Genomic DNA, 23,477 nt, shown 5'->3' on the forward strand with positions numbered 1-23,477 from the left:
GGGAGATCGAGACCAGCCTGGCCAACATGGTGCAACCCCATCTCTACTAAAAATATAAAAATTAGCCGGGAGTGGTGGCAGGCACCTGTAATCCCGGCTACTTGGGAGGCTGAGGCAGGAGAATCGCTTAAACCCAGCAGGCGGAGGTTGCGGTGAGCTGAGATCATGCCACTGGACTCCAGCCCAGGTGACAGAGCGAGACTCCATCTCAAAAAAAAAAAAAAAAAAAAAAGTCAGTCTTATTATTGAATAAATACACAGAAGTCTTTTCAAAGGTATTAGTAAATTAAGTCCATCAAGCTTGGTATATCCCAAGAAGGCTGTTTTGTTTAAAATGTTCAAAACTTATTAACATAAATCCATGTCATTAGCAGATTAAAGGAGGAAACAATTTCAGTAGTTATATGAAAAGATTTTGATAAAATTTAAATCCATTCATGATTAAAAACTACCAACAGGCTAGGCATGGTGGTCAGGAGTTTGAGACCAGCCTGGACAATGTGGTGGAACCCTGTCTCTACTAAAAATACAAAAACAGGCCGGGCACTGTGGCTCACACCTGTAATCCCAGCACTTTGGGAGGCCGAGGTGGGCGGATCACAAGTTCAGGAGATCGAGACCATCCTGGCCAACATGGTGAAACCCCAGCTCTACTAAAAATACAAAAATTAGCTGGACGTGGTGGCATATGCCCGTAATCCTAGCTACTCAGAAGGCTGAGGCAGGAGAATCACTTGAACCAGTGAGTCAGAGGTTGCAGTGAGCCGGGATCGTGCCACTGCACTCCAGCCTGGTGACAGAGAGAGACTCCGTCTCAAAAAAAAAAAAAAAAATACAAAAACAAAAAATTAGCTGGGTGTGGTGGGTGCAGGCCTGTACACCTAGCTATGCAGGAGGCTGAAGCAGGAGAATCACTTGAACCCAGGAGGCAGAGGTTACAGTGAGCCGAGATCGCGCCACCGCACTCTAGCCTGGGCAACAGATCAAGATTCCATCTCAAAAACAAACAAACAAACAAAAAACCCTACTAACAAACTAGGAATAGAGGGAAACATCTTAGGAATAGAGGGAAACTTCTTTAATGTGGTAAAAGGTATTTATCAGAAACATACATTAATCATCAGACCCAGTGGTGGTAAAAAAAAAAAAAAAAAAAATTCCCAGAAAACCAGGAACAAGACAAGAATACCTACTATTGCTACTTTAATTAACACTGTACTGCAAATCTTAGCTAGCAGAGAAGACAAAAAGAAATAAAGTACAGATAGCTCTTGACTTACGATGGTGCAACTTTAGGATGATGCAAAGAAACTGTACTTTGAGTACCCATACAACCATGCCGTTTGTCAGTTTCAGTACAGTATTCAATAAATTACATGAGCTGGTGAATACCTGATGATAAAATAGGCTTTGTCTTGGATAATTTTCCCCAACTATAAGCTAATGTAAGTCTTCTGAATATATTTAAAGTAGGCTAAGCTAAGCTATGATGTTTGCCAGGTTAGTTTATTAAATACATTTTTGACTATAATATTTTCAGCCTACAGTATAAGTATTGCAACAGAAGAAATCAAACTGTCATTTTTCAAGTGAGCCTCAATTATTTAACCAGGTTACTAGATACAAAATCAATATACAAAAGTAATTATATACCCCTGTATCAGCAGCAAACTTAAAAAGTCATTTTTAAAAAGGATACTACTGGAGATAGCCAGCCAAAAAAAAAAAAAAAAAACTATAGCTAGAAATGAATGTAACAATACAAGGGAAATCTTTCTAGAGAAAGATGTAACATTTATATTGAAGGATATTAAAGGAGAGTTAAATGGAGAGAGAGAAAGTATACAAGGAGAGAAATTTCCACTACTATTGAAGCGATCACTTTTCTCCAGATTGATCACAGAATCAGTCATTGTAGTTCCAGTAAAAATCCCAACAAAATTTTTTTTGTTTTGAGACAGAGTCTCGCTCTGTCACCCAGGCTGGAATACAGTGGCACCATTTCAGCTCACTGCAACCTCCACCTCCCGGATTCAAGGTTATCTCCTATTTGATCTAAAATCAAATTTTTCTGGTTATCCCTAAGATTTCTTTTGTAACGGCCCTCCCTGCAGCTGAGGTCCAATCAGGTTCACATATTACATTTGTGTAATCCCAAGTAGCTGGGATTACAGGCGCCTGCCACCACACCCAGCTAATTTTTGTGTTTTTAGTAAAGACGGTTTCGCCAGGCTGGTCTCAAACTCCTGACCTCAGGCGATCAGACTGCCTCTGCCTCCCAAAGTGCTGGGATTACAGTCATGAGCCACCGAGCCCGGCCCCAGCAAGAATCTTAATGAAACTTTTGAAAAGCTGATTCCAGAATTTTTATACATATGCAAGAACAAATGGTAAATAATAGTGAAGATAATACTGAACCACTCCAAGTTAGAGGAATTGCCCTACCAGATTATTAAAGCTGCAGTAGTTGGCAGAGAATGAGATAAATAAACCAAAGGAACACAATAAAGAAATCAGAATCTGGCCGAGCGCGTTGGCTCTTACCCGTAATCCCAGCACTTTGGGAGGCCAAGGCAGGAGGATCACTTGAGGTCAGGAGTTCCATACACCAGCCTGACCAATATGGTGAAACTTCGTCTCTACTAAAAATACAAAAATCAGCCTGGTGTGGTCACGTGCTCCTGTAGTCCCAGCTACTTGAAAGGCTGAGGCAGGAGAATTGCTTGAACCCGGGAAGCAGAGGTAGCAGTGAGCCGAGATTGTGCCACTGCAGTCCAGCCTGGCCCACAGAGTGAGACTCCATCTCAAAAAAACAAGCAAACAAACAAAAAAAAAAAAAAACACCGGAATCTGGCCTATGCATATATATAGAAGCTGAATAAATTGCAAAGATGGTATGGATCAGTGAGGAAAGGGGGGACTTTTCATGGTCCTCTGACGATTGGCAAATCCTTATAGATTAAACGAAGTTGAGACCGAGTGCACTGGCTGCTATCTGTAATCCCAGCACTTTGGGAGGCTGAAGCAAGCAGTTCCCTTGAGCCCTCGTGTTAGAGACTAACCTGGGCAACATGGTGAAACCCTGTCTGTACAAAAACTTACAAAAATTAGCTGGGTGTGATGGCACACGCCTGTAGTCCCAGCCACTTGGAAGGCTGAGGTGGGATGATTGCTTGAGCCCACAAGTTGGAGACTTCAGTGAGCTGTTGATCGCGTGCCACTGCACTACAGCCTGGCTGACAGAGCAAGATCCTGTCTCAAACAGACAGGCAAACAATTAACTAGAGTTGGAGCCCTACCTTACACCGTGTGGAAACACAAATTACAAGGAGAGTCTTAGATCAAAGCTTTAAACTTTATAGAATAAAATATAAAAGATGATGACTTTGGGCTGGGTAGAATTTCTTTCTTTTCTTTTCTTTTTTTTTTTTTTTGAGACGGAGTTTTGTTCTTGTTGCCCAGGCTGGAATGCAATGGCACGATCTTGGCTCACCACAACCTCTGCCTCCCGGGTTCAAGTGATTCTCCTGCCTCAGCCTCCAGAGTAGCTGGGATTACAAGCATGCGCCACCACGCCCAGCTAATTTTGTATTTTTAGTAGAGACAGGGTTTCTCTGTGTTGGTCAGGCTGGTCTCGAACTCCCAACCTCATGTGATCCACCCACCTCGGCTTCCCAAAATGCTGGGATTACAGGTGTGAGCCACCACGCCCGGCCCTGGGCTGGGTAGAATTTCTTAAACAGAAAACCATAAAAGAGATTGTTGCAGTAAACTACCTTAAAATTTTTAAATAGGAGCTTTTTTCATGGAAAGATACCCTAAAGAAAGTGGAAACATGGCCGGGTGTGGTGGCTCATGCCTGTAATCTCAGCACTTTGGGAGGCTGAGGCAGGCGGATCACTTGATGTCAGGAGTTTGAGACCAGTCTGGGCAACATGGTGAAACCCTATCTCTGCTGAAAATACAAAACTTAGCTGGGCATGGTGGCACATGCCTGTAGTCTCAGCTACTCGGGAGACTGAGGCACGAGAGTTGCTTGAACCTGGGAGGTGGAGGCTGCAGTGAGCTGAAAGCATTGCAGTCCAGCCTGGGCGACAGAGTGAGACTCTGTCTCAAAAAAAAAAAAAGCAGAAAGATAAGGCCAGTACACTGCTAGCTCCATGGTATGTTCATGTGAACTAGAAAAAAGGTTTGCCGTTCTCAATACTTTTCACATCACCTGTTGGAAACTTGCCATAATAAAGATTCATACTTACCTCAGTGTTTACCGTGATAGATTCAGACATCCAGAATGTGAAGCATACTGTCTAGGGCTGTGCATCCCACCGTTGTATGTGGGGTAACCTTGGCCATGATTTACAAATCTGGAAGAGGTAGTTGTCACACCTGTAATTAACAATGTTCACAAGATATTCAAAATGCTCGCATGTCAATGGGGGGAGAAACCCAGTAAGGAAATGAGTACAAGTCATGAGCATAATTGTCAGAACATTGGAATGGTCAGTAGCTATATGAAAAGATGTCTAGGTTGCATAATAACCAGGGATATGCAGATTAAAATAACTCATCTGCAAGTTATTCCTCCTGACCAAGTTGGCTAAAATTAAAAAGTCAAGTTAGGAGCATAAGTTGATTTAAACTTTTTGAAAGCCAATTTGGCATCTGGTGATAAAGACTCACCTGTACCTTGACGCGGCAGTTTCACTCCTAAATATATACGCTAAAGAAACAAGCATGGCGGGTGCGGTGGCTCATGCCTGTCATCCTAGTACTTTGGCAGGCAGAGGTGGGAGTGGCGCTTGAGCCCAGAAGTTTGAGACCAGCTGAGCAACATAGTGAGACCTCCATCTTGACAAAAAAATTTAAAAAGTTACCCAAGCATGGTGGCACATGCCTGTAGTCCCAGCTACTCAGGAGGCTGAGGCAGGAGGATCACTTGAGCCTGGGAGTTGGAGGCTTTGATAGCAACACTGCACCCCAGCCTAGGAGACAGAGCCAGACCCTATTTTAAAAGAAAATTAAATAGATAAATAAACTTATTTGCCCTGGAAAACCAGTTCAGAAATTTTGAAAATAGTTAACATATGAAAACAACCCAGCCGGCCATCAACAGGAAAAAGAATATGATAAAACTTTGTTGTAACAAAAGATTAATAAAGAAAAGCATATGGATTTATTTGCTGAAAGTTACGAGCTCTGTATACCCAGGGCCTCTCCTTCACGAGCACTAAATAAGTGTTTATTGGATGGGTGGATGGAAGCATCGTCCTCATCTTACAGATAAAAGGACTAAACCCGAGAGAGGATTCCAAGTCACACAGGTCATAATGGCAGGACTGGCCTCGATCCTGGGGCCGTCTGGCATCCCAGAAGTGCTAAGGTTGGTGTGCTCTGATACTGCTTGAGCGGGGAGGAAGCAGTGCCTTCAGCCCCTCCCTGATCTCAGCCAACCTTTCCAGTCTTTGACTGACACTTTGAGAGGCCGAGACAGGCGGCTCACTTGAGCCTGGGAGCTCCAGACCAGCCTTGGCAACGTAGTGAAACTCCATCTCTACAAAAAAATGCAAACGTTAGCCAAGTGCGGTATCATACACCTGTAGTCCCAGCTACTTGGGAGGCTGATTTGGGAGGATCATTTGAGCCCAGGAGGTTGAGGCTGCAGTAACCTATGATCACACTGTTGCACTCCAGTCTGGGCAACAGAGCGAGACCCTGTCTCTATTTCAAAAAAAAAAAAAAAAAAAGATTGATGTTCATCTTGCATACAGTGCTCTGCAAACCCTGCCTGAAGCCCCCTTCCCTTCTAACCAGCCCCTCCTAGACAAATTCTGGAGCTTGGTGCATTGTCTCGTGTACATCCATAACTGTGTCCATGCGCTTTGCTACAACCACGATCTGCATCGTTGGAAGGAGTGGAGCCCAGGTTAACTGTGAATTTCATCACAGTATCACCTGCTGACATGGCCTGAGGGAGGGACCAAGGAATGATCTGAAACTTCCCTTTGTGCTGAATGTCTCCCTTACATGCAGCGCGCTGGCCACGTTCAGAGCTGCATGCAGGACGTGCTCTCGGAGGCTGGGTTTTACTCTCTGGTCTTCATTCAACGCAACCTTTTCGGGAGCCTCCTGCTTCCAGCTATGGGCCAAACAGTTGCTAAAGATGTCTCATTGAATACAGTCAACTAGGATCCTGCTATTCTAATGAAGGGAAACTGATGATAAACACAAAAGGCAATGTTAGATGGCGCCAGGCACTGCGAGGGAGACACACTGGGTCTTGGGGTAGAGCGGGAAGAGGTGGTAGTGACTTCTTCAGTCATCCAGGGAGGCCTCTCCAGGGAGGATGACGGAACATCAGAGGAAAGAAGCAAGGAGAACCAGCCACACTCAGAGCTGGGAAAGAGCAGCAGGAAGATGGGGGCAGTGAGTGCCAGGGCTCTGCAGGGATGGGCTTGCCTGGCAGGGAGCAATACCAAGGAAGTTAGTAGGGCCCGGGTCATGCCAGGGCCTTGTAGGCAGAACCCTTAAGTCTCTTTGTAGGGACCCTTTGGTCTCCCCTTTGAACTAGGCCCTTTCAAAGACGTACAGTAGAAAGCAAATTCCCCATGGGCACCGGCAGGATGATTTGACAGATTCTAATCAAATAATTGGGGAAATAAAGTTGGGTGAACTACAGCAGTCTATGAATGAGTTAAAAGTGACTACGAGTCTGCTGCCCATCTTGCAGCCCATATCTGTTGAGCTGTAACATATTTAAGCATTCAGATCTAAAGGCCATTGCTAAATAAAGCCAGGGCGTCCATGTGGTTCGCTCCAAAGAGCATTTCACAGGGAGCCAGTCCAGGCGCTGCCGCCCACCACCTCTGTGACCTTGGGTGAGTCTCGGGGCCTCTTTCTGCCCGACTTTGCTCATCTGTAAAACGAGTGGGTTACCCAGATCCTCCCCCAAGGAGCTCCGTAGCTCTGAAACCTCATGAGACTCACTGGAGCAGTACTTTGGTTGACTATCGCTAGCAGAACCGAAAAGGACATTCTCCAGCAATGTAAATCTGTTCAAAAATGGGATGAGCTGGCTGGGCACAGTGGCTCATGCCTGTAATACCAGCACTTTGGGAGGCTGAGGCGGGTGGATCACAAGGTCAGGAGTTCAAGACCAGCCTGGCCAACATAGTGAAACCCTGTCTCTACTAAAAATACAAAAAAAAAACAAAAATAAAAAAATTAGCCAGGCATGGTGGTGGCACCAGCTACTTGGGAGGTTGAAACAGGAGAATTGCTTGGACGACCACCTGCCAGGGAGATTGTCACCTCTTATCCATTCTTTTTTTTTTTTTTTTTTTTTTTTTTTGAAATAGAGTCTCTCTGTGTCACCCAGGCTGGAGTGCAGTGGCTCACCATAATCTCTGCTTCCTGGGTTCAAGCGATTCTCCTGCCTTAGCCTCCTGAGTAGCTGGGATTTCAGGTGTGCGCCACCATGTCCGGCTAATTTTGTATTATTAGAAGAGATGGGGTTTTACCATGTTGTTCAGGCTGGTCTTGAACTCCTGGCCTCAAGTGATCAACCCGCCTTGGCCTCCCGAAATGCTGAGATTACAAGCATGAGCCACCATGCCCTTGCCTTATCCATCCTTCTAAATGCCAGATCCTCCAAGTCTTCCCAAAATACCCAGCCAGAAACAGATTCTTCCTCTTCTCATCTCTAATAGGGCTTCATTTATATCTCCCTTTTGATTTTTTTTTTTTTTTTTTTTGAGATGGAGTCTTGTTCTGTCACCCAGGCTGGAGTGCAGTGGATGATCTCGGCTCACTGCAACCTCCACCTCCCGGGTTCAAGCGATTCTCCTGCCTCAGCCTCCCAAGTAGCTGGGACTACAGGTGCACACCACTATGCCTGGCTAATTTTTTGTATTTTTAGTAGAGACGGGATTTTGCCATGTTGGCCAGGCTGGTGTCAAACTCCTAGCTCAGGTGATCCGCCTAGTGGTTAGGATTTGGCGCTATCTCTCCCTTTTGGTTTTGAGCCTAAAGACATTCTGCCCTTATAGTTTGCTTACCAAGGCCTTATGCTTCTAAAATGTAGAAGGGAGGATGTGTGTGTGAGTGTGAGTGAGTGTGTGAGTGTGTGTGTGTGTGTATGTGTCTTTGTACCTGTTTCTGTCCCCATCTTACCAGTACTTGCCTAAATACTGCATTAAGCATCATGGGTGAAATAGGATTAGAGAAGGTTGGACCAGATCAGTGGCTCCCAAAGCTGCTGCTGGGTTGGACCAGTGCTGCACTGGCCCTATGAGAATTGCTCACATGTTTCCAGAAATACAGCTCCCCAGGCTCCTACCCTGACATTCCGGTGTAGAAGGCCTGGGGTGGAACCTTAGAATCTGTCATTTTTCAAAGCCCACCTCTGATGCTCATGCACTGCTAGTTGTAGGAACCACTGGGCTCGGTTCCCTGAAAGAGCTCTTTCTCCTGGTAACAAGTTCTGTGACTCTCTCTGCCCACTCAGTCTTCTTAGATTGGCATGTTAGAAGCTCCATGACTTGCCTTTGAAATATTTTTCCAGCTTCAAAGTCCTGGACTTCTACTCTGGCCGAACTGGCCTGTGTATTATGAGTCACCTGAACATACTTTTTGATTTCCTGAAGGCTCTGTTATTGTTAAGACCCTTTTGCTGTTCCCTACCTATAAAACTCATTTCCATCCTTTAGGGCTGAACCGAAAAGTCTATCTCCTTTGATCATTTTCCTGACCATCTCAACCTATTTCTAACTTTTTCCCTCTTTTTTTATCCTCAGCTCTATTAAAGTATCATTAACAAAGAAAAGTTGTATATATTTATAGTGTATAATGTGATGGTTTGGGGTTTTTATTTTTTGAGACAGGATCTCCCTCTGTCACCCAGGCTGGAGTGCAGTGGCATAATCAGGGCTCACTGCAGCCTTGACCTCCCGGGCTCAAGCAATCTTCCTGCTTCAGCCTCCCAAGCAGTTAGGACTATAGGCTCCTGGCCAGGCTAATTTTATATTTTTTCGATTTTAGTAAAGCCGAAGTCTGGCTGCGTTGCCCAGGCTGGTCTTGAACTCCAGCAGCACAGTCTCAGCTCACTGCAACCTCCACCTCCTGGGTTCAAGCCTCAGCCTCCTGATTAGCAGGGACTGTGGACGTGTGCCACCACGCCTGGCTAATTTTTTTATTTTTTGTAGAGACGAGGTTTTGCCACGTTGGCTAGGCTGGTCTTGAACTCCTGACCTCAAGCGATCCTCCCACCTCATTCTCCCAAAGTGGTGGGATTACAGGCGTGATCCACCACACCCAGCCCAATGTGATGTTTTGATACATGCATACATTACGAAGTGATTTCCACAATCTGACAACATACCCATTAGCTCACTGTGTGTGTGTGTGTGTGTGTGTGTGTGTGTGTGTGTGTGTGTGTGTTGAGAACACTTGAGATCTACTGCCTTAGCAAATGTCATATATATGATTACAAGATTATTAACTATAGTCACCATGCTGTACCTTGGAAAAGAAAACCTACTTTTCTTGCTTAAGTAAAACTTTTACCCTTTTCAAGGACTGGGGGACCTTGAGTATGTGCAGATTTTGGTACACGCAGGGGGTCCTAGCACCAATCTCCTGCGTGTACCAAGGGATGACCGTGTGTATAGAAAATCACATGTTTATTACCCATGTATTTGTTGTTGGATGCTTAGTCTGTTTCCATATCTTTCTATTGTAAATAGTGCCGCAGTATACATGAGTGTGCAGATAACTCTTAACAATACTGATTTCAATCCCTTTGTGGTGTTGCTGGATCGTATTAATTTTGGGGGGAACCTCCGTACTGTTTCCCATAATGGCTGTACCAATTTACATTCCCACCAACAGTGTACAAAGATGCCCATTTCTCCATGTCTCACTAGCACTCGTGTGTCTTTTTGGTAATAGCCCTTCTAACAGGTATCAGGTGATACCTCATCGTGGTTTTGAGTCAAATTTTCCAGATGATTAAAGATGTTGAGCAGCTTTTCATATACCTGTCAGCCGTTTGCATGTCTTTTTTTAGAGAGAGACAGGGTCTCACTCTGTTGTGCAGACTGGCGTGCGGTGGTGCGATCATGGCTCACTGTAGCCTTGAACTCCTGGCCTCAGGTGATCCTCCTGTCTTGGCCTCCCAAAGTTTTTGGGATTACGTGAGCCACTGCGCCAGGCCTTATGTGTTTTCTTTTGAGATCCTTAGCCCATTTTCCGTTTTTTTGTTTTTTTTGGAAAGAGTCTTGCTCTGTCGCCCAGGCTGGAGAGGCTGGAGTGCAGTGGTGCCATCTTGGCTCACTGCAACCTCCACCTCCTAGGTTCCAGCGATTCTCCTGCCTCAGCCTCCCAAGTAGCTGGGGTTACAGGTGTGTGCCACCACACCCAGCAAATTTTTGTATTTTTAGTAGAGATGGGGTTTCACTATGTTGTCCAGGCTGGTCTCGAACTCCTGACCTCAGGTGATCTGCCTGCCTTGGCCTCCCAAAGTGCCGGGATTACAGGTGTGAGCCACTGCGCCCGGCCACCTTAGCCCATTTTCTAAACAGGGTGCCTGTTTTCTTGTTATTGCATTAACTTTTCCCCTCTTTCCAGCCTGCTCTTAAGATTGTACATGCTTTGAGGGCCCGTATCTTGTCTTAGATGCTTTATCTATTCTTTGCCTTATGGAAGTGGTTACATAAAACATTCTTAGCTGAATTTCCCCCTGCTTCTCGCCTTCTCCTTGTTAATGAGTACTTATTGAGTGTGATGTGCGAGCATCTACTTTGGTTCCTAGACGCCCACAAGCAAAATAGGTCAGTGCCCTGCTGGGAGTAGGGAGGGGTTGTCAGGGTCTTCTTTGGGTTTGTGGCCAGACAGGCGACTGTGGAGCAGACCAGGCACTCTGGGGACAGGATGATGCGTTCTGGCTGGAAGATACAGGGAGGCTTCCCAGGGACCCTAACACAGCCTGCTGCCCTGGACCTTTGCTGGGGAACTGACTTCTCAGCCAGTATGTCTGTCCGCAGGCTCTTGGGCCTTCTGCAGTGGTGGAGGTGACAGTGGTGTTAGCCGTGGTGGTCACTGTGGTGATGTGGCTGCTGTACTGTCATTATCTTATGGCAAAACCCGCAAGCCTGACACACACAGTGTCTCCCTGTAAGTTCGCGCCATGATGGCTCAATTAGGGACCCGTCGGACTGCGGCTCAACATCCAGGCCAGCTGCATAATTGAAAGCACATTTTCTCCTCCAAAGCTGCAGCTGGTTTGGTTCTGCTCATGCAGAAAGGGATCTAACCTTGCATAACATAGGAAATGAACAGTTGAGAGAGAAGCCAAATTCAATTTCAGTCAGATATGTTGAGGCTAAGTCCATGATCTATGGAAGCCGGGGCAGGAGCCGTGCGCCTGTGGAAAGGGGCGCTCTCAGCAGTCTATTAATCACGGCCGCCCGCCCGGCGCTGCCGCCACTGCCGGGTGCCACTGCGCCCGCGCGCCCCCTCCGATGTGGGCTGGAGCGCAGCCAAGCACTCCAGAAGTTAACCTCTTAAAGACCCGGAGCTGCTTTCTGTTGAATAAATGTAATTTTGTGGTCAGAAATAAATGCTTGTGATATAGCAGGAGCTTTGAAAACAACGGCAAGCTGGAGCGATTACAAATTGCTCCATGTTGTACAAGTCAACAGCAGACATCAAAATTCCACGTGGAGGGCAAATTGATTTCGGCCCAGAGCTCTGCAGCTATTCAATAAAAGTCCTATTAAACCATTGTATGTAATGAACAATCCAGAGCAAATCTAATATTTTCAGTGGATAATTATTTTTAACATCCTCTCGGTAACTGCTGGTAGATTTCTTGGATGTTTACAGCTCGAACTCGGGCAGAGTGGGCCTTCCCAGCTGTCATTTGGCATCTCCGCCAGGGGACCCGCTCCAGGGACCCAGCTGCGTACATGGCTCCTGAACATGGGGCTCTGGCCTTGGGGTTCAGGTTGCCAAGGAAGGGTGCATGGGGTTTCTGAATCTCCCAGTGCCTGGGATGTAGTAGGTGCCTGGGAAATGTTTGTTGAATTGAGCTGAACTGAGTTGAAATGCACAAGAGGAAGCTCTAAGAACCCCAGAATGACTTAGGAAAATGATATTGTGGCAAAGTTGACTCAAAACCTGAGGCTGAAGAGACCAGTGGGTTGCAGGTAAGGAAATTGAGGTCCCTTGTGATAGACCAATGTCAGCCCCTATGGGAGTCGGGACAGAGCTGGCACCCCGGGAAACCCCAGGACTTACCCAATTCACTTCCCGTTTTTGGAGATGGACTCTTGCTTTGTCACCCAGGCTGGAGTGTAGGGATGCGATTGCAGCTCACTGCCACCTCCGCCTCCCAGGTTCAAGTGATTCTCCTGCCTCAGCCTCTGAAGTAGCTGGGATTACAGGCACGCACCACCACACCTGGCTAATTTTTATATGTTTAGTAGAGACAGGGTTTCGTCACGTTAGCCAGGCTGGTCTCGAACTCCTCACTTCAAGTGATCCACCTGCCTCAGTCTCCCTAACTGCTGGGATTACAGGCGTAAGCCACTGTGCCCAGCCCCCATTTCACTCCTGTTCTGTTTTGGTTTGGTTTGGATTTTTTTTTTTTTTTTTTTTTTTTTTTGAGACAGTCTCACTCTGTCACCCAGGCTGGAGTGCAGTTGCACGATCACAGCTCACTGCAGCCTGGACCTCCTGGGCTCAAGCAGCCCTCCAGCCTCAGCCTCCTGAGTGGCTGGGACTACAGGTACACACCACTACACCCAGCTAATTTTTGCATTTTTTTTTTGAAGAGATGAGGGCTTGCTACGTTGCCCAAGACGGTCTTGAACTCCTGGCCTCAAGCAGTCCTCCCACAAAGGCCTCCCAAAGTGTTGGGATTACAGGCATGAGCCACCACACCCAGCTCACTTCTGTTCTTGACAGCTTGCGAAGTGCATTCTTTGTCAGGGAGGCCACACTGGGAGAGTCGCCAAAGCGATCTTGTTGCTCATCTAGTGTTCCCACCCCCAGGATGCTCCCCTACCTTGCTCATGACAGGGCTGTAACCCTGTCCCCTTCCAGACCAAGAGCTTCTCAGGGAAGGTCTGTTCATTCATTGATTCATTAAATATTTGTGGAGCATGTATGCCAGGCTAGACCAGAACTAGACCCTGGTTAGTGGTGGTAGGTGAATGAATGTAGCCGTTGCCTTCATGAAGCTTAACAGTTTAGCAAGATCTGTATCCCCATGTGGCACAGTGCTTGGCGCTCTGTTAAGTGATGGTGGATGGGTGGATGGATTGGTGGATGAATGGGTGGATGGTGGGTGTGTGGGTGGATGGATGATTTGTTAGATAAATGGGAATGGATAGATGGTTGATTGCATGGAGGGAGGGTGAATAGGGGATAGATGGATGGATGATTGGATAGAAGGATGGATGGATAGATGATTGGATAGAGGGATGGATGGCTGGATGATTGGATAAAGGGATAGATGGATGGGTGATAGGATAGAGCTATGGATGGATGAAGGGAGAGATGGAGGGAGGGAGGGAAGGAGGGAGGGAGAGATGGATGGATGGATAACTGGATAGAGGGATGGATGGATGATTAGTCTAGAGGTAGGGAGGGAGGGAGGGATGGATGGATGGATGGATGATTAGAAAGCAGTATGTGTCTGTAAGAATAGATTGACTCTTACTCATTTTCGTCTCCTGGAGTAAAATCATCCAACTTGTAATGCTCAGTCATACAGTATTTATTTGACTATCGTGGAATTTAAATTTCTAGGGTATTTTATTTTCTGCAGATCTCCCTTCCCTTGGAAAAACTCAATATGGATGTTAATTAGGTTTTACTAAAGTTCCATCAATTTAATGCAGTCGTTCTTTAAATGAAACTGACACCAAGGACCACATGGCCAAAGGAAGCCCACGTTCCTGTGTGTGGTTCTGAGGAGGGAGCATAGGATGCAGTTTGATAACAGCTGAGAGCCCTGAGGAGTTTGTTGCTGGATGTGGAGTATTCCATGTCTCGTCCCTCCCCCAGTCTTTTTCCAGTTGTGTCACAACTCCCTTTGCTAATAATATTTTGCACAGCATTTTACGTCTACAAAGCACCATTTCCATGATGTCGCTCACCCTTCGACACCACCCTGTGCTGGGGGCATCATCATCATTCTGAGTTACCAACAGGAGGGGTAGCAGACAGTCCAAGGGGCAAGGCAGGGACTCCCAGCTCCAGGCTCCAGCCTCTCCTCCCCTCCACCCTCTCCTGGTCCTGTCCTGAAATCTTTGGCTCCCTTGAAACTTGTTATGCCCGGGCAAATGCCACCCTCGTGCCACTGTATTCCCACCACCTCCAATGAGTGTCCCCCACCTGATGGGGTCACACACTTGTCCAGCCACCTGCACAGAAAAGCCTCATGGACACAGCCCTGTGAGGTCAGAAATAGACCGAACAGGGTCACTCGGTTGGAAGGCGTGGTAGTGTTAGAACCCAGGTGTTTGAACTCGGTCTAATATTCATTCCACTCTTTCACACACACGTAAGGGCACATGACCACTATTAATCAAATTTTCAAAAAAAAATCAGCTGGGCACAATGGCTCATGCCTGTAATCCCAGCAATTTGGGAGGCCAAGGCGGGTGGATTACCTGAGGTCAGGAGTTTGAGACCAGCCTGGCCAGCATGGTGAAACCCCGTCTCTACTAAAAATACAAAAATTAGCTATGCATGGTGGCACACGCCTGTCATCCCAGCTACTCGAGAGGCTGAGGCAGGGGAATCACTTGAACCTGGGAGGCAGAGGTTGCCATGAACTGAGATTGCGCCACTGCACTCCAGCCTGGGCAACAGAGCGAGACTCCATCTCAAAAATAAATAAATAAAGGGAATTTGACATAAAATCGTTAATGTTGACTGTTTCAGCCTGGGTGACAGAGCGAGACTCTATCTCAAAAAAACAAACAAACAAACATGAGCTCCATGTCTGTTTCATCTGTTCCCCTCTAAGTATAAACTTCCTGAGCCTTCTAAGTCCAGCCAGGTGGGCCAGCGGTCACCGAGATCCTTCCTCGCTGGGGGATGGAATAGGCCTCCCCTGCTTTGCTGCTGTTCTTTGGCCTTGTCCCCTGCCTCTTTTCTTGGACCACCTACAAGGACCTAGGGGGACACAGTACTGGGGGCAGGAGCTGGGAAAGGCCTGCCATGGTTCACTGATAGTAAGAAATAGAGACTCACTCGGAGAAATTTCCTCTGAAATACAGCAGACTCAGCGCAGCCCTTTGGGCAGATGAAGGAGGCTGAGAAGAGCATCCCTTCAGCAACAGCTGCGTGCCAGAAGCTTCGTTCCGTTCTGCCATTTCATCTGCACAGCAGCTCAGCCCGGAGGGGAGAGGAGTAAATGGGCCCAGAGAGATCAAGTAACTTCCTTGGAGCTTGTCAGCCTTGAGCTGAAACTTGGACTCTGATGTCGAACTCCGAAGCCCATGCTTATTCTGTAAAGCCTGAAGAGTGTCTTATAATTGATTTAGAAGTAGGAGAAGAGGGGGAACCTGTGAGATTACACTGTCTTCCAGCATAACAAGAAAAGAGAAACCAGTTGGATGCGGTGGCTCACACCTGTAATCCCAGGTGTGATGGAGAGGCCGAGGCAGGAGGATCACTTGAGCCCAGGAGTTTGAGTCCAGCTGGGGCAACATAGTGAGATCCCATCTCTACCAAAAAAAACAAAAACAAAAAAAGAAAAACGGAAACCCATGAAATGATCCATGGGTACATAGGAAGGGAGAGAAACTGGTTCCTAGGGCTGTGGGAGGAATGACCGCAGGCCTGCCCTGGGAAAAAGCTTTGCTTTTCAGGGAGCCCCTTGATGTTTGGGGACTTAGGAGAGCAAGTCTGGCCCTGAGATGTGGGACCAGGCATCCCCACAGAGCACACATCAGCAGATAAGGGCTGCCGCTCTAGGAACAGTCTTGTCCCAGCGCAGGCACGAGGAGGGCTCAGGAATCTGGCTGGGAGCATTCCTGCCGTCCCTACTGAGGAGCTGCCACTGTGGACCAGAACACCCCCCTGATAGGAGCAGACTCCCGGGGTGTAGACACTGCTTCCCTTTTCACACCGTCTCCTGAATTTTCTCCTGGGTTCCTGCTTAAAGGAGCGGAGAAAACCAAACTGACAAATCACTGATCTTGGAGTCAGATCTGGATTTGAATCCTGACATCATCATTTGCCAGCGTGACCTTGAATATCTCATGTCCGCTTCTCTGTCCCATCCATATAACAGGAAATCTCTCTCGCAGAGCAGCGACGTTATATGCACATGTTTAAAGATGATGGCATAAAAGCAGTGCTGGATGGGAGCTGGTAGCTAGTTATTGATTATAGGATCCTCTAGGTCCTTTAACTTCTTCAATAGCCGTAGTCCCCAGGATTTAACCTTCTGGGGCTTTCCCTGTATCTCTGTCCCATCCACACTCCAGAGTAACCTCATCTGGGCCGTTTGGGGCTGGTGGTTCCAAATTTTTGCCTCTGGCCTGGGCCCGTCATCCAACGCCAGGCCTCCCTGGGGCTCCCACTGTGGGTACCTCGCTAACTAATAATCTTCATTTCCCATGTAAACACAGGCACCTGCGTATGCCCCATTTCGGGAGAGGTAACCAGCCCCTAGTTGCCCTGGCCAGAACTCTGGGAGAAGCTATGTTCAGTATTAGACCCTGTGAATTCTTTTTATTATTATTATTATTATTATTATTATTTACTGTTGTGTTGGGCTCTCGCTCTGCTGCCCAGGCTGGAGTGCATTTGTGTGATCATAGCTCACTGCAGCCTCAAATTCCCGGGCTCAAGTGATCCTCCCGCCTCAACCTCTCGAGTAGCTGGGACTATGGGCACATGCCACCACTCCCTGCTAAGACCCTGTGAATTCTATTTCCCTAACCTCGCTGGAATCAGCTCCCTCCTTCCCAGCAGTTGGCTTTCTCCCTCTCTTTCCTGGTCTGGTCTGTCTACCACCAGTTGCCATCCTGTCCTGAGTGATCGCTTCATTTCCCACCCTGATTGACATCCTCAGGGATTCCCCTTCAGCATAAGCTGCCCCCACCCCGGGCGTGGTCCCTTGCACCTCCCTCCACAGGCTGGCCCCTGCCTGCCTCCTCACCTCACGTATCCCCAGTCACCTCCTCTGCTCCAAGGCACGGCAGGTCCCTGCCCTTCTCTGAGCAGGCCACTTTGTTTGAACACGTCTCTGTGTCTTTGAATAGCCCTCCTCTCCCCACTGAAGCCTTCTGCCTCCCACCACGAATAAAGATGATCTTTGTCTTCTTTAAAACTTGCCCTAAGTTTGCAAAACACAGGATGTAGAGCAGCATCTAATAGACTATCATTTGTGTTTGAAAAAAAAAAAAATAGGGCCGGGCGCAGTGGCTCATGCCTGTAATCCCAACACTTTGAGAGACTGACGCGGGCGTATCACCTGAGCTCAGGAGTTTGAGACCAGCCTGGCCAACATGTTGAAAGCCCGTCTTTACCAAAATACAGAAAATTAGCCAGGCATGATGGTGCGCAACTGTAGTCCCAGCTACTTAGGGTAGGAAAATCAGAGGCAGCAGAATCGTTTGAACCTGGGAGGCAGAGGTTGCAGTGAGCCAAGATCGTGCCTCTGCACTCCAGCCTGGGTGACAGAGCGAGACTCTGTCTCAAAAAAAAAAAAAAAGGAACACAGTGCATGTCTATAGGTGCTTGTAAATGCATAAATACCTCTGGGAGGATGCCCAAGACTATCTTTACCTCCAGACCAGGCAGCTGGATGACAGGTGGATGTGGATGGGAGGAAGACCTACTTTTCACTGTCAACTTTGTTTTCGCTTTGCTTTTCTTTTTACAATTAAATGACTTTTAGTGTATTCACCAAGTCATGCAGCCATCACCCTAATTCCAGAACATTTTCGTCAGCTCAAAAAGAAACCTCATACTGGCCGGGCGCGGTGGCTCACATCTGTAATCCCAGCACTTTGGGAGGCCAAGTCAGGCAGGTCACTTGAGGTCAGGAGTTTGAGAACAGCCTGGCCAACATGGCGAAACCCCGTCTCTACTAAAAAAACGAAGTACAAAAAAATTAGCCAAGCGTGGTGGTGGGCGCCTGTAATCCCAGCTACTCAGGAGACTGAGGCAGGAGAATCACTTGAACCTGGGAGGCAGAGGTTGCAGTAAGCCGAGATTGCACCACTGCACTCCAGCCTGGGTAACAGAGTGAGACTCCATCTAAAAAGAAAGAAAGAAACGTAATACCCATTAGTGGTCACTCCTCATTTATCCCAACCCCAACCCTTGGCAACCATGAATCCCCCTTCTGTAGATTTGGCCATTCCCCCCATGTCTCTGTAGATTTGGCCATTCTTAACATTTCATATCAATGAGATCAAATAATATATTAGTTTTTTGTTCCCGGCTTCTTTTACTTAACCATGGTTTCGATATTCATCTATGCTGTAGCATATACCAGTACTTGCTTTCATTCTTTTTATGGCTGAATAATATTCCATTGTATGGATGTCCCATGTTTTATTTATCCAATTATCAGCTGATGGCCATTTGGAGTTTTGTTTCCCCACTTTTTGGCTATTATGAATAATGCTTCTATGAACATCCATATACATAAGTTTTTGTGCAGGTAAACACTTTTGTCTTTCTTGCCTACCTAGGAGTAGAATTGCTGAGTAATAGGGTAACTCTATTTTTAACATTTTGAGGAATGGCCAAACTGTTTTCCAAGGTGGCTGTGTAATTTTACATTTCTGTCAGCAATGTAGGAGGGTTCCAGTTCAGTTTCTCGACATCCTTTCTAACACTTAGTATCATCTTTTTTTTGGGAGACAGGGTCTCGCTCTCTTGCCCAGGCTGGAATGCGGTAGTGTGATCTCGGCTCAGTGCAACCTCTGCCTCGCAGGTTCAAGCGATTCTCCTGCCTCGGCCTCCTGAGTAGCTGGGATTACAGGCACGTGCCACCATGCCCAGCTAATTTTTTTGTATTTTTAGTGGAGACAGGGTTTCACCATGTTGGCCAGGCTGGTCTCGAACTCCTGACCTCAGGTGATCTGCCCGCCTCGGCCTCCTAAAGTGCTGGGATTATAGGCGTGAGCCACCGCAGCCGGCCCCATTATATGTCTTTTTGATGCTAGTCATCCCAGTGGATGTTGTGGTATCTCATTGTGGTTTTGATTTGCATTTCCCTAATGAGTATTGGCATTGAGCATCTTTTCATGTGCCTATTGGCCATTTGTATCTTTGGAGAAACATCTATTCATATCCTTTGCCCATATTCTAATTCAGTTACTTTTATTAAATATTTTTAATTTTTGTGGGGATGTATATATATATTTATGGGGTGGAGCACATGAGATGTTTTGATACAGGCATGCTACGTGTAATAATCTCATATGGAAATGGAGTATCCATCACCTGAAGCATTTATCCTTTGTGTTACAAATAATCCGATTATACTTCTTTAATTGCTTTTAAATGTACAATTAAGTTATTGACTGTAATCACCCTGTCGTGCTATCAAATAATAGGTCTTAATTCATTCCTCCTGGCTTTTTTGGTACCCATTAACCATACCACCTTTCCAGCCCCACTACCCCTCCCAGCCTCTGGTAACCATCCTTCTACTTTCTATGTCCAAGAGTTAAAAATTGTTTTTATGTTTATATCCCACAAATATGTCAGAATATGAGATGTTTGTCTTTCTATGCCTGGCTAATTGTTTTTTTATTTAATGAGTTGTAAGAGGGCTTATATATTCTGGAGTATCTTTTCAAAACTTCCATTCTGTGGGTTGTCTTCTCACTTTTTTTTTTTTTTTTTTTTTTGAGACAGAGTCTCACCCTGTTGCCCAGGGTGGCTGCAGTGTCACGATCTCGGCTCACTGCAACCTGTGCCTCCCAGGTTTGAGCCATTCTCCTGCCTCAGACTCCTGAGTAGCTGGGATCACAGTTGTGTGTGCCACCATGCCCAGCTAATTTTTGTATTTTTAGTAGAAACAGAGTTTCGCCATGTTGGCCAGGCTGGTCCCGAACTCCTGACCTCAGGTGATCCACCTGCCTCAGCCTCCCAAAGTGCTGGGATTACAGGTGTAAGCCACTGCACCCAGCCTCTCTTTTCAGTTTCTTGGTAGCGTCTTTAGAAGCGCAGAAGTTTTATATTTGATGAAATCCAATTTGTCGATTTTTCTTCTGGTATTTGTGCTTTTGGCATCATACCTAAGAAACCATTGCCTAATCCAAGGTCATAAAGGTTTACACCTGTGTTTTCTTTTAAGAGGTTTTATAGTTTTAGCTCATATATTTTGGTCTTTGATTTATTTTGAGTTAATTTTTGCATATGGTGTGAGGTAGGGATCAAACTTTGCTCTTTTGCATGTGGATATCTGGTCGTCCCAGCAACATTTGTTGAAACACTGTTCTTTTACCCTTGAATTGTCATGTCACTCTTGTCAAAAATCAGTTGATCATAATATGAGGGTTCCTTTCTGGGCTGTATTGATCTGTGTGTTTATCCTTATGCCCCTACCAGTTCAGGTCAATGTAGTTTTGTATTTAGTATTGAAATTGGGAAGTGTGACTCCTCCAACCTTGTTTCCTTTTTCAAAATTATTTTGGTTATTTGGGGTCATTGCATTTTCATATGAATCTTAGAATCAACTTGTCAATTTCTGCAAAGAAGCCAGCTGGGTCTAGGCACAGGGGCTCTTGTCTGTGATTCTAACACTTTGGGAGGCCAAGACGGGAGGATCACTTGAACCTAATAATTCAAGACCAGCCTGGACAATATAATGAGATCTCATCTCTACAAGAAAAAAGTTAAAGATTAGCCAAGCATGGTGGCGCGTTCCTGTAGTCTCAGTTACTCCGGAGGCTGTGGCAGGAGGATCACTTCAGCCTGGGAATTGGAGGTTGCAGTGAGCTGAGGTTGTGACAGTGCACTCCAACCAGAGTGACAGAGTGAGACCCTGTCTCCAAAAAAAAAAAAGCCAGCTGGAATTTTGATAGGCATTACCTTGAATGTGTAAATCAACTTCGTGACTATTGCCATCTTAAAAATATTAAGTCTTCCAATCCATAAGCATTGGCCATCTTTCCATTTAGTTTAGTGTCTTTCAGCAGTGTTTTGTGGTTTTTAGAGCACAAGTTTTGTATTTCTTTTGCCAAATTTATTCGTAAGTATTTTATACTTTTTGTGATGCTATTATAAATGGATTTTTTTTTTTTACTTTCACTTTCAGATCATTTATTGCAAACATGTAGAAAGACAAATGTTTTTTTACAGGGATACTTTGTTGCATTGAGCTCCACTTTTTTATGCTTTGAAGATAGTGTGTTTCTTCAAAAATGGAAGTCTGTAGCAACCCTGAGTCAAACAAGTGTGTCAGCATTATTTTTCCAACTGCAGGTGCTCACTTCCTTTCTCTTTGTCACACTTTGGTAATTCCCACAATATTTCCAATTATTCACTATTATTATATCTGATATGGTGATCTGCAGTCAGGGAGCTTTGATATTACTATCATAATTGTTTGGGGACACCACAAACTGTGCCCCATATAAGATGGCAGACTTAATTGATAAATATTGTGTGTGTTCTGACTACTCCACCAACCAGCTGTTTCCCATCTCTTCCTGTCTTTGGGTTTCCCTATTTCTTGAGACACAACAATATTGAAATTAGGCAAATTAATAATCCTGCAATGGCCTATTAAGTGAAAGGAACAGTCACATGTCTTTCACTTTAAGTCAAAAGCTAGAAATGATTAAGCTCAGTGAGAAAGGCGTGTTGAAAGCTGAGGTAGGTTAAAAGCTGGACTTCTTGCACCAGTTAGCCCAGTCATTAGTGCAAAGGAAAAGTTCATCAAGGATATGAAAAGTGCTGCTCCAGTGAACACATGAATGATAAGAAAGCCTTATTTCTGATAGGGAGAAAATTTTGGTGATCTGCATAGACGATCAAACCAGCCACAACATTCTCTTAAGCCAAAGTCTAATTCTCTTAATTGGGTCTTAATTGTCTCAAGCCAAAGCCCTGACTCTTCAATTCTATGAAGGCTGACAGAGGTGGGGAAGCTACCGAATAAAAGTTGGAAGCTAGCGGAGGTTGATTCATGATGTTTAAGGAAAGAATTTATCTCCATAATACAAAAGTGCAAAGTAAAGCAGCAAATGCTTTGGTGGAAGCTGCAGCAAGTTATCCAGGAGATCTAGCTAAGATAATCAACGAAGATGATGGCGCTACACAACAGATTTTCAATGTAGGTAAAATAACCTTCTCTTGGAAGAAGATATAATCTAGGACTTGCATAGGTAAAGAGAAGTCAGTGTCTTGTCTTTAAAGCTTCCAAATGCAGGCCGACTCTCGTTAGGGGATAATGCAGCTGGTGACTTGAAGTTGAAGCCATTGCTCATTTACCATTCGGAAAAATCCTAGGGCCTTCAGAATTAAGCTACACCTACTCTGCCTGTGCACTAGAAATGGAATCATAAAGCCTAGATCACAGCATCTGTTTATAGCATGTTTTACTGAATATTTTAAGCACACTGTTGAGACCTACTGCCCAGAATAAAAAAAGGTTCTTTTCTTTTCTGAGACAGTCTTGCTCTTGTCACCCAGGCTGAAGTGCAATGGCATGACTTCAGCACACTGCAACCTCTGCTTCCCAAATTCAAGTGATTCTTCTGCCTTAGCCTCCTGAGTAGCTGGGATTACAGGCTCCCACCACCATGCTCGGCTACTTTTTGTATTTTTAGAAGAGATGGGGTTTCACTATGTTGGCCAGGCCAGTCTTGAACTCCTGACCTCGTGATCCGCCTGCCTCAGCCTCCCAAAGTACTGGGATTACAGGCATGAGCCACCACACTCGGCTGATAAAAAGATTTTTTGTTTTTTGTTTTTTGTTTTCTGGTTTTTTTTTTTTGAGACAGAGTCTCGCTCTGTCACCCAGGCTGGAGTCTAGTGGTGCGATCTCGGCTCACTGCAACCTCTGCCTCCTGGGTTCAAGTGATTCTCCTGCCTCAGCCTCCCGAGTAGCTGGGATTACAGGTGTGTGCTACCACGCCTGGCTAATTTTTTGTATTTTTATTAGAGATGGAGTTTCACTGTGTTAGCCAGGATGGTCTCGATCTCCTGACCTCGTGATCCGCCCGCCGCAGCCTCCCAAAGTGCTGGGATTACAGGCATGAGCCACCGCGCCTAGCCGAAAGGTTCTTTTCAAAATATGACTGCTCATTGACAGTGCACCTGGTCAACAAGAGCTCTGGTGGAGATGTACAAGATGAATGTTGTTTCCATGCCTGCTAACACAACCTGCATTCTACAGCACATGGATCAGGGAGTAATTCTGACACTCAAGTCTTATTTTTTAAGAAATACATTTTGTAAGGCTATAGCTGCCATAGATGGTGATTCCT

The 23,477-nt window shown here is 45.8% G+C and overlaps 1 protein-coding gene across 25 annotated transcripts in view, besides 1 other annotated feature; it reads left to right on the plus strand.

The window, feature by feature from the left end:
* CUX1 (cut like homeobox 1) overlaps positions 1-23,477 on the plus strand; it is a 467,952-nt gene that overhangs the window by 217,929 nt on the left and 226,546 nt on the right. The window lies entirely within an intron of this gene.
* Positions 2,734-2,936: a silencer, noted in NCBI's record as "fragment chr7:101679949-101680151 (GRCh37/hg19 assembly coordinates)". NCBI's record gives its function as "represses an EF-1alpha promoter that drives an FKBP-Casp9 reporter gene in an ReSE screen in HepG2 liver carcinoma cells {active_cell/tissue: HepG2}" and the evidence as "EXISTENCE:reporter gene assay evidence [ECO:0000049][PMID:32094911]".

The sequence above is a fragment of the Homo sapiens genome, chromosome 7, assembly GCF_000001405.40.
Source record: "Homo sapiens chromosome 7, GRCh38.p14 Primary Assembly".
Lineage (NCBI taxonomy): Eukaryota > Metazoa > Chordata > Mammalia > Primates > Hominidae > Homo > Homo sapiens.